Source organism: Homo sapiens, chromosome 8 (genome assembly GCF_000001405.40).
Source record: "Homo sapiens chromosome 8, GRCh38.p14 Primary Assembly".
Lineage (NCBI taxonomy): Eukaryota > Metazoa > Chordata > Mammalia > Primates > Hominidae > Homo > Homo sapiens.
In genome coordinates, this window is record NC_000008.11 from 36942009 (window position 1) to 36953339 (window position 11331).

The window sequence follows — 11331 nt, forward strand, 5'->3', positions numbered from 1 at the left end:
TAACAAGAATATTCAAAAATATACAAATACATAAAAATTCAACACCATATTTATGAGTAACCAATGAATCAAGGAGGAAATTAAGAAGAAAATTTAAAATTTCTAGAAACAAATTGACATAGGAATACAACATACAAAAACCTATGGGACACAAAAAAGCAGTATTAAGAGACAGGTTTATAGTAATAAATAAATGCCTACATTGAAAAGTAGAAGTATTTCAAATAAACCACCTAAGAAGGCACTTCAAGGAACTAGAAAACAATAACAAACCAAACCCAAAACTAGAGAAGGAAAGAAGTAATAAAGATCACAGCAGAAATAAACAAAACTGAGACTATCACATCACATAAACAAAACATAAAATAAAACCACATCATCATCTCAATAGATGAAGAAAAGACTTTCAATAAAATTTAACATCCCTCATGTTAAAAACCCTCAACAAACTAGGTATAAAAGGAACATACCTCAAAATTACAAGAGCCATCTATGACAAACACACAACCAACATCACATTGAATGGGCAAAAGCTGGAAGAATTCACCTTGAGAACTGAAATGAGACAAGGATGCCCTGTCTCACCACTCCTATTCAACATAATACTGGAAGTCCTAGCCAGAGCAATCAGGTAAGAGAAAGGAATAAAAGGCATGCAAATAGGAAGAGGGGAAGTCAAACTATCTTTCTTCACTGATGATATCATACTACAACTAGAAATACCCATAGTATTTGCCCAAAGGCTCCTAGAACTGAAAAACAACTTCATTAAAGTTTCAGGATACAACATCAACTTACAAAAATCAGTAGCATTTCTATACATCAATAATATTTAGGCTGAGAGCCAAATCAAGAATGCAATTCCATTCACAACTGCCACAAAAAGATTAAATACCTAGGAATGCAGCTAAGCAGGGAGGTAAAAGATCTCTACAGGGAGAATTACAAAACACTGCTGAAAGAAATCATAGATGACACTAACAAATAGAAAATCATTCCATGCTTACGGATAAGAATAATCAATATTCTTAAAATGGCTATACTGCCAAGGGCAATTTACAGACTCAATGCTATTTTTATTCAACTACCAACATCATTTTTTTCACAGATTTAGAAAAGACTATTCTAAAATTAATATGAAACCCAAAAAGAGCTTGAATAGCAAAGCAATCCTAAATAAAAAGAACAAAGTCAAAGGCATCACATACCTGACTTCATACTATTCCACAAGGCTACTGTAAACAAAACAGCATGGTACTGGTACAAAAACAGACACATAGACAAATGAAAAATGATAGAAAGCCAAAAAATAAAGCTGCACACCTACAACTATCTGAGCTGGAACAAAGATGACAATAACAAGCAATGGGGAAAAGACTCCCTATTCAATAAATGGTGCTAGAATAACTGGCTTGCCACACGCAGAAGATTGATAATGGACCCCTTATTTTACCATATGCAAAAAAATCAATGCAAGACAGATTAAAGACTTAAATGTAAGACCTGAAACTATAAAAATCCTGGAAGTAAACCTAGGAAATACCATTCTAGACATAGGCTTTGGCAAAGATTTCAGAACGAAATCCCCAAAAGCAATTGCAGCAAAAACAAAAATGGACAAGTTGGACCTAAGTAAACCAAAGAGCTTCTGCACAGCAAAAGAAATTATCAGCATAATAAACAGCCTACATAATAAGAGAAAACATTTGCAAACTATGTATTAGACAAAGGCCTAACATCTAGAATCCATAAGAAACAAATCAACAAGAAAAAAACAAGCCCATTTAAAAATGGGCAAAGAACATGAACAGACACTTCTCAAAGAAGGCATACAGGTGGACAACAAGCATACGAAAAAAATGCACAACATCACTAATCATTAGAGAAATGCAAATCAAAACCACAGTGAGATACCATCTCATACCACTCAGATGGCTATTATTAAAAAGTCAAAAAATAGCAGATGCTGGCAAGGTTGCAGAGTAATAGGAATGCTTATGCACTGCTGTGGGAATGTAAATTAGTTCAGGCACTAAGGAAATAAGTTTGGGTATTTCTCAAAGAACTTAAATGAGAACTACTATTCGACCAGCAATCCCATTACTGGCTATATGCCCAACGGAATATAAATCATTCTACCAAAAAAATCATAAACTCATATATTTATTGCAACACTATTTACAATAGTAAAGACACGGAATCAACGTAGATGCCATCAATGGTGGGATGGATAAAGAAAATGTATATATGCACCATGGAATACTATGCAGCCATAAAAGAATAAACTCATGTATTTAGCAGCAACATGGATGCAGTTGATGGCCATTATCCTAAATGAATTAATTTAGGAACAGAACACCAAAGTACTGCGTGTTCTCACTTATAAGTGGGAGCTAAACATGGAGTACCCATGGGCACAGAGATAGGAACAATAGACACCACAGCCTGTTTGAGTGGGGAGGGTGGAAGGAGGATGAGGGTGGGAAAACTACATATTGGGTACTATGTTCACTATTGGGTAACAAAATCATTTGTACACCAAACCCCAGTGACATGCAAGTCACCTATATAGCAAATCTGCACATGTACCCCCTGCACTTAAAAGTGTAAAATAATAATAATTTTTTGAAATTTTTTTTGAAAAATCTTTAGCTATACTAAGAAAAAAAGAGAAAACTCAAATTAATAAAATCAGAAATGAAGAAAAATGTTACACCTGATACCAACAGAAATAGAAAGAATCACTAGAGGCTATTACTAACAACTACAGACCAAAACATTTGAAAATCTAGAGGAAATGGATAAATTCCCAGATATATACAACCTACCAAGATTGAACCAAGAAAATATAGAAAACTGAAACAGACCAATAATGAGTAATAAGGTTGAATCAGCAATAAAAAGTCTACAAAGGGGCCGAGTGCAGTGGCTCATGCCTGTGGTCCCAGCACATTGGGAGGCAGAGGCGGGCGGATCACGGGGTCAGGAGATCAAGACCATCCTAGCTAGCATAGTGAAACCCCGTCTCTACTAAAAATAAAAAAATTAGCCCGGCGTGGTGGCAGATGCCTGTAGTCCCAGCTACTTGGGAGGCTGAGGCAGGAGAATGGCGTGAATCTTGAGCCGGGATCACGCCACTGCACTCCAGCCTGGGCTACTGAGGGAGACTCCGTCTCAAAAAAAAAAAAAAAGTCCCCAAAGGAGAAAACCCAGGACCAATGGCTTCACTTCTGAATTCTACCAAACATTTTTTAAAAAGCTAATACTAATTCTTCTTAAATTATTCCAAAAAACTGAAGGGAGGCTAATTCTTCCAAATTCATTCTGCAAGGCCACTTTAACCCTGATACTAACACCAGATAAAGACACAACAACAACACTACAGGCCAATATTTCTGATGAACATAGATGCAAAAATTCTCAAAAAAACCCTAGCAGATTGAATTCCACAGCACGTCAAAAAGATTATACACGATAATCAAGTGAGATTTACCTCAGGGATGCAAAAATGGTTCAACATATGCAAATCAATAAATGTGATATAACTCATCAACAGAATGAAGAACAAAAACAATATGATCGTTTCAATAGATGCAGGAAATATTTGATATAGTTCAGGATCCTTTCATCAAAAAAACTCTCAATAAATTAGGTGTAGAAAGAATGTACCTGAACACAATAAAGGCCACATATTATAAACCCACAGCTAACATTATATTTAATGGGGAAAAGATCAAAGCTTTTCCTCTAAAAACTAGGACAAGACAAGGATGTTCACTCTCTCCATTCTAATTCAACATAGTACTAAAGGTCCTAGCCAGAGCAATTAGGAAAGAGAAATAAATAAAGAGCATCCAAATTGGAAAATAGGAAATACAATTGTTCCTGTTTGCAGACAACATAGTAATATATATAGAAAAACCTGAAGACTCCAGCAAAATACTCTTAGAACTGATAAACAAATTCAGTAAATTTACAGGACACAAAAACAACATTAACAATCAGTAGTGTTTTTACACACCAACAAACTAGTTGAAAAATAAATTTTAAAAAAATCCCATTTACAATAGCTAAAAAAAGAAAAACCTAGGAATAAGTTTAACCAAGGAGGTGAAAGGTGTCTACCAGGAAAACTATAATACACTGATAAAAGAAACTGAAGATGTAAGCAAATGGAAATCCCACATTCATGACCTGGGAGAATTCATTTTGTTAAAATGATCATACTACCCAAAACAGTCTAGGGATTTAATGCACTCTCTATCAAAATACCAATGACATTTTTCACAGAAATAGCAAAAACAATTCTAAAATTTGTATGGAACCACAAAAGTTCTCAAATAGCCAAAGCAATCCTGAGCAAAAGGAGCGAAGCTGGAGGCATTATACTACCAGACCTCAAAATATACTACAAAGCTATGCATGATAAACAAAAGAGCATTGTATTGGTATAAAATGGATACATAGATTAGTGAAATGAAATATATAACCCAGAAATAAATGGATACATAGATCAGTGAAATGAAATACATAACCCAGAAATAAATACATGTATTTACAGCTTACTGATTCTTGACAATGGCACTAAGAACATTCATTAGGGAAAGGACAGTCTCTTCAACAAGTGATGCTGAGAAAACTGTATATCTATATGCATAAGAATGAAACAAGACTCCTATCTCTTACCTCATACAAAAATCAACTCAAAATGGAGTAACGACTTAAATGTAAGACCCAAAACTATAAAACAACTAAAATAACAAAGGATAAATTCTTCAGGACATTGGTATGAAAAATGATTGTATAAATAAGACCTCAAAGGCACAGGCAACAAAAGCAAAAATAAACAAATGAGATTATATCTAACTTAAAAGTGTCTGCACAGCAATGAAAACAATCAATACAGTGAAAAGATAACCTACCGAATGGGAGAAAATATTTGCAAACTATTTATTTGACATGAGATTCATATCCAGAATGTATAAGAAACTCAAGAGAAAAAAAAAGTCATCAGGTTAAAAATACAGCAAATAATCCAAATAGACATTTCTTAAAAGAAGACATGCAAATGGCTAACAAATATATGAAAAAATGCTCAACATCACTAATTATCAGGGAAATGTAAATCAAAACCACAATGAGATACCATCTCAACCCACTTAGAATGGCTACTATCAAAAAGACAATAAAAAACAACAACAAATGCTGGTGAGTGTGGGGAGAAAGGGACCTCTTATACGCTGTTTGTGGGAATATAAACTAGTATACCTATTATGTAGAACAGTATGGAGATTCCTCAGAAAATTAGTACAAGAACCATATGATCCAGCAATCCCACTGCTGGTTATATATCCAAAGGAAAGGAAATCAGTATGTTGAAGAGATGGCTGCACTCCCATGTTGTTTGCAACACTGTTCACAAAAGTAAAGATATGGTATCAACCTAAGTGTCCATCAATAGATGAACAGGTAAAGAAAACGTGATGGATATCAACAATGAAGTACTCTTCAGCCATTTTTTAAAAAGAATAAAATCATGTCATTTATGGCAACATGATTGAGCCTGGAGGACATTATTTTAAGTGAAATAAACCAGGAACAAAAAAATACCGCATGTTCTCACTCACATGCAGAAGCTTCACAAGTTGATTTTATGGAAGTAAAGAGTAGAATAGAGGTTACCAGAGGGTGAGAAAAGGAGGGGGTGGGAGTGGGGTAGAAAGGAATTGGTTAAGGATACAAAATGACAGCTAGATAGAAAGAATAAGTTATATTGCTCTATAGCACTGTAGGATGACTATAGTTAACAGTGCATTATTATATACTTTCAAATATGTATAAGAGAGGACTTTAAATGTTCCCAACACACACAAAAAATGATAAATATTTGAGATGATGGATGGGCTAATTACCCTAATTTAATCACTATACATTTTATGTATTGAAACATCACTATGTACACCATGAATTGTACAACAGGCAAGGTGGCTCACTCCTCTCATCCCAGCATTTTAAGGGAGGCTGAGGTGGGAGGATAGCTTGAGCTCAAGAGTTTGAGACTAGTCCAGGCAGCAAAGCAAGACCCTGTCTCTAGAAAACAAACAAACAAAAATTAGCCAACTGTGGTGGTGTGCACCTGCTGTGCACCTGGTGTGGTCCCAGCTACTTGGGAGGCTGAGGTGGGAGGACTGCTTGAGTCCAGATCAAGGCTGCAGTGAGCTATGATTGCACCACTGCACTGCAGCCTGCACAACAGAGTGAGACCCTGTCTTAAAAAAAACAAGCAAACAACAAACAGAAAATAACAAGTGTTAGCAAGGACATGGAGAAATTGGAACCCTTGTGCACTGTTAGTGGCAATGTAAAATGTTGTAGCCACTATGGAAAACAGTGTGGAAGTTCTTCAAAAAGTTAAAACTTGAATTACCATATAATCCAGTAGTCCCACTTCTGATTATCCAATAAAAATGAAAACAGTATCTCAAAGGGATATTGCATATGCCCATGCTTATTGCAGCATTATTCACAATAGCTAAGAAGTGAAAGCAACTTAAATGTCCATCAGCAGATGAATGGATAAAGAAAATGTGGTATAGGCATACAATGAAATATTATTTAACCTTAATAAGAAAGAAAATACTGTATCCATGCTACGACATAGACAAACCTTGAGGATATTACACTAAGTGAAAGAAACCAGCTACAAAAAGACAAATACTGCATGATTCCACTAATATATGGCATCAAAAGTCAAACTCTTAGAGAGTAGAATGGTGGTTGCAAGTGGCTGGGGTAGAGGGTAAAGGGGAGTTTGTTTAATGGGTATAGAGTTTTAGTTTTGCAAGATGAAAAAGTTCCCAAGATCTGTTGCACAACAGTGTGCATATAGTTAGTAATACTTTACTGTAAACTTAAAAATCGTTAAGGTGGTAAATTTCATGTTATGTGTTTTTGACCACAATAAAATAAATTGTTACATACATATAAATTAGTAGAAAGAAGTGAATTTGTAACTTTATATGCATATGTAGGAATAGATGAAATCTTAAAAATTAATAAGCTAGTCGTTCAATTTATTATAGTAAATAAGAGAAAGAATGGTGGAGTAAACTGACATAAGTCTAAAGGAATTTTGCATCGGTCTTCATATTTCCCAACAAACTTGTCTGGAACAGGAAACCAGAACACAAATCAAGACTCTGCTTCACTCAGTAGCTAACCATTTGTTATTTTGAGAAATAGGGAAAACATCCTCCATCAAATGATTGTTTTGTTTAAGTAGCCTAAAGAAATATTGGAGCAACATTTGAACAGAACTGAAGAGTAGGGTAAGATGAAGAAGCTGGAGGCAATACATGAAAATCTCTTTAAGATGTGCTGTTCAAAATATGGTCCCCCAACCAGCAACATCTATGTTATCTGAAAGCGAGCCCCATCCCTGGCCTATTGAATCAGAATCTGGATTTTAACAAGATTGATAAATGATTTATACATTAAAGTTTGAAAAGTAATATTTTCAAGGGATATATACATATGCATGTATTTATGCAATATATGTGTGTCATATAATACACATGCACACATACATATACCAATATATATACACATATATGCATACACATATAAATACAGACACACACACAGTGGTTTCTGAAAAAAAGATCTGGAGGTTTGGTTTCAATGAAAACTACCTCCATTATAGTAACATATACATGTGAATGTGTGTATGCAATATATATGTGTCATATAGTACACATACACACACATACACAAATATATATACACAAATATGCATATGCATATAGATATAGATACACACACACAGTAGTTTATGAAAAATTAAAAAGATCTGGAGGTTTGGTTTTAATGAAACGACCTCCACCAACATTCTGCTATTTGGCATGTTAACTTCTATTTAAGACATATACCAACACCTCCAATTAATTATAAAATTCTCAAGCTGCATACCTTCAAACCATAAAGGAGTTAAGGAAGGTTAAACTTCAATGAGGTTGATGTATATTTTCCTGGAGGAAAAACAACTTACAGCTCAAAACTTAGGCGTTGTTTCTTCCAGGCCAAAGAAACACAAGAGACAGAGCTCTGAAAGTCATCTCAAGTCAGTTCCTTGATTTGCATGCACAGGGCGCTCTGAACAGTGAGAAGGAAAGGAGGCAGTGAGAAGAATGAAGGGCTGCTGGGGATGGGAGGGAGCCAGCGAGGAAAGGCCCTAACACTAATTAGGTTTGAAAGACTACAGGATGAGGCCAGCCACGGCATGCTGAGAAGAAAGGAACCTGAGCAGCTGATGCTAAGTTCAGACTAAACTAGCTGCAAGTCCCCTGGGGACGTCCCAAGGTAAACCTGATCGTCTCTGTCATTTACAATCATTATCAGGCAGGCTGCTTCTGTAATTTTACTGGTGAGCCAATTAATAGATCCCTGAAGCTAGCGGGGAAATGTCCAAGCCCTCCTCTTGTTTTTGAAAACAAAAAATAAGGCAGCCCCTGTGCTGCTGTCTTCTGAGTGCTGCTTTTTCTAAAGGCAGGAAAGATGACTTCATACAATACAAATGCAGTGACTCCTCAGGTCAGGCGGATGGTGGGAGTCAGTCTTTTCTTCTGCCTTAATTTACTCTTTTCTCTAGCAACCTAAATTAGCCACCAGATAGCCCAGCAAGCCTTGCTTCCTCCTTTTCTGAGATACGGAAATGCTGACCAGCTCTTTTACTCTTCTTTGCCTTCAAGAAAATGTCTTTGCAGCATTTCATCTGGCAAGAAAATGGGAAAGGCCAGCTTATGTGCTAAGGAGGCAGTAAAGAAGGACCACTCTTCTGTTTATTGCTCAACGACACGATTTTCTCCTGCCCCCATCCTTTCTCTTGCCTTCTCGTCACAAACTTGGTAACTAGTTGTCTATATTCAGTACTTTATTTCAGCATCTCTGATTCACTACTCAAACCACCCAAGCTGGCTATAAATCTACTAAGAATGCTCTTCCTAAGATCACCAATGACATTTGTGTCACTCAGGATACTAGAATATTTCGTGCTAGCCTGACTTGAATGAAGCCTTAGCAGGACTCAGTACAGTTGATCCTCCTTCTCCAACCTGAAACACTGTCTTCCCTCGACTTCCATGATATAACAATCGTCTAGTTTTTCTTTCACTTCTCTGGCTGTGCATTCTCACATTACTTTTGATTCTCCTTTTCTACAACATAATTAAGTACTGGAATCACTCAAAGCTTGATCATGGACTGTCTTCTTTTTTCACTCTCAGGGATCCCTTAGTTAGGCAGACAAAAAAAATACTGGAGAGCATATAACTGAAATGAAAAAGACAGGAGCTACTTGCCTCTAGCCTTTGCTGTCATGCAAGAATGCAGGCTCAAAGTTGCTAGATTTTTTTTTTTAATTTTTAAGAGAAACTGGCAATTCTGATATTTATATGACATTATCCTTTCAAATTTTAGATTATGACTGTGAAAGAGTAGCTGTAGCAGACCAACCCTCACTCCAAGAAAAAAATTAAAACTAGATAAACATTTTTAAAATTATCTATTTGAAGTAATCAGAGAGCAACGAAGTCAGTAAGACCTTGAAAGGCTACAATCCAAGTAAAAAGAAAAACTTTGAGGTAAGCTCACCATTTTCTGCCACTTTTTCCTTAGGGCATCTTTCAGTTAGTACGTGGTACTGGACAAGAGATCAGGTTGAACTGTAAGGCTCTAGTTTTCAGCAGACTCATGGTCCTGGGAGAAAGAAAACAACTGGACAGGGGGCTATCAAGGTAGCCAGGTTTTGAGGGGACTCAGTTCAGGAGAAAAGAACTGGAAAGCAGGTCCTGTGCTGCTTTTCTCCTTGAGAAATTTATTCCCAATATTTTCAGCATGAGAGGGTGAGCACCTAAGAAAAAAGCATTAGCTAAAAAGCTAGAAAGGTAAGCAGAGCTTTTGCCCTTCTCATAGTGCTAGAAAGATGAAAATTGGCATTCAAATCCTGGAAAGGGGAATAGACCCCCAAAACCATCTCTTGTTTCCACTGGGGTCCTCAAAAGGCCCTACTTTAGGATTACATCAAACTAGGAATGGAGCACTTCTCACAACATCTGAAATCCAGTTCAGTGTCTCCTGTTCCCTGACTATATGAAGGTGATCAATTCCTACTGTAACTGCCTATAAGAAAAAAAAAAAGATAAATTCTCTCTGCTAGAAGTTAACATTATTCAGAGCTTTTCTATGCTCTTTATACACCGTATCAAGCACTCAAGAAAAATGGTTAGACTCAATATTATCTCTGCCTTTATTTACTCTTTAGGTAGGGCAGCAAACTTTGTTTTCTTCTTTTCTGAGTTACAAAAATGTTGGCCATCTCTTATTCCTTTTTTACCCCTGCAAGAAATAAATAGGTAAATAATTATCATGAATGGCAGCAACAGAGAAACTCAAAAAAATAATAATAAACCAGAAACCGAGAAAAAAATAGATAATGGAGATGGCCCACAGGCAATCTAGATATCATACATAAGACACGGACTTTAAAGTCACTCTAATTACCACGTTCAAGACATTGGATGACAAGATGGAGAAATTTACCAGAAAATGATCATTTATCCCAAAACTATTTTAAAAATACAAGAGGTAAAATTATAAATGTAAGAGACATGTTTAACAGTTGTTTGGGTAAAAAAGGAGGTAAAATTAGAGAACTGGAAAAAATGTTAGCAGAATAAAATCAGAGTATAGCATAGAGAAAAAAAGAAAACATGCATAAATATGTGTAGGAGACATGGTGATAAATGCCTAAAATGTAATTAGATCCCCAGAAAGACAGAAAAGAAAGAGCAAGTGGGATAGAATTTTATGGAAATACTAACCAAGAATTACTCTAAACTGAAGACATTGACCCAGGCATTCAAGAATCTTTTTGTACCTCATACATGAAAAAAAAGAACTCCTAAACACATCATGGTATAATTTCTTTGTATTAAACTAAAATAGAACATCTTAAAGACATCCAGACAAAAAAGACACATTATCCTCAACGAAGCTATGATAAAATTTATAGCTGACTTTTTAATTGAAACAATGAAAGTCATAGGTCAGTGGAATAAAACATTTTAAGGTTTGAAAAAGAAGAAAACTAACCGGCCAGCATCCTAGACCCAGTGAAAATATACTTTATAAATAAAGGCAAAATACAAACATTACCAGAAATACAGAAAGTGAAATAATTCATCACCTTATACTATATCAGACTTATACTATAAGAAACACCAAAGGGAATTCTTTAATCAAAAGAAGAGACCATAAATGGTAATATGGAAATAC

The 11331-nt window shown here is 35.7% G+C and overlaps 1 annotated feature.

Annotated features, from left to right (window-relative positions):
- Positions 8010–8546: an enhancer, noted in NCBI's record as "NANOG hESC enhancer chr8:36807536-36808072 (GRCh37/hg19 assembly coordinates)". NCBI's record gives its function as "activates a minimal SCP1, AML or CMV promoter by ChIP-STARR-seq in naive and primed H9 embryonic stem cells {active_cell/tissue: H9 hESC(naive and primed)}" and the evidence as "EXISTENCE:reporter gene assay evidence [ECO:0000049][PMID:30033119]".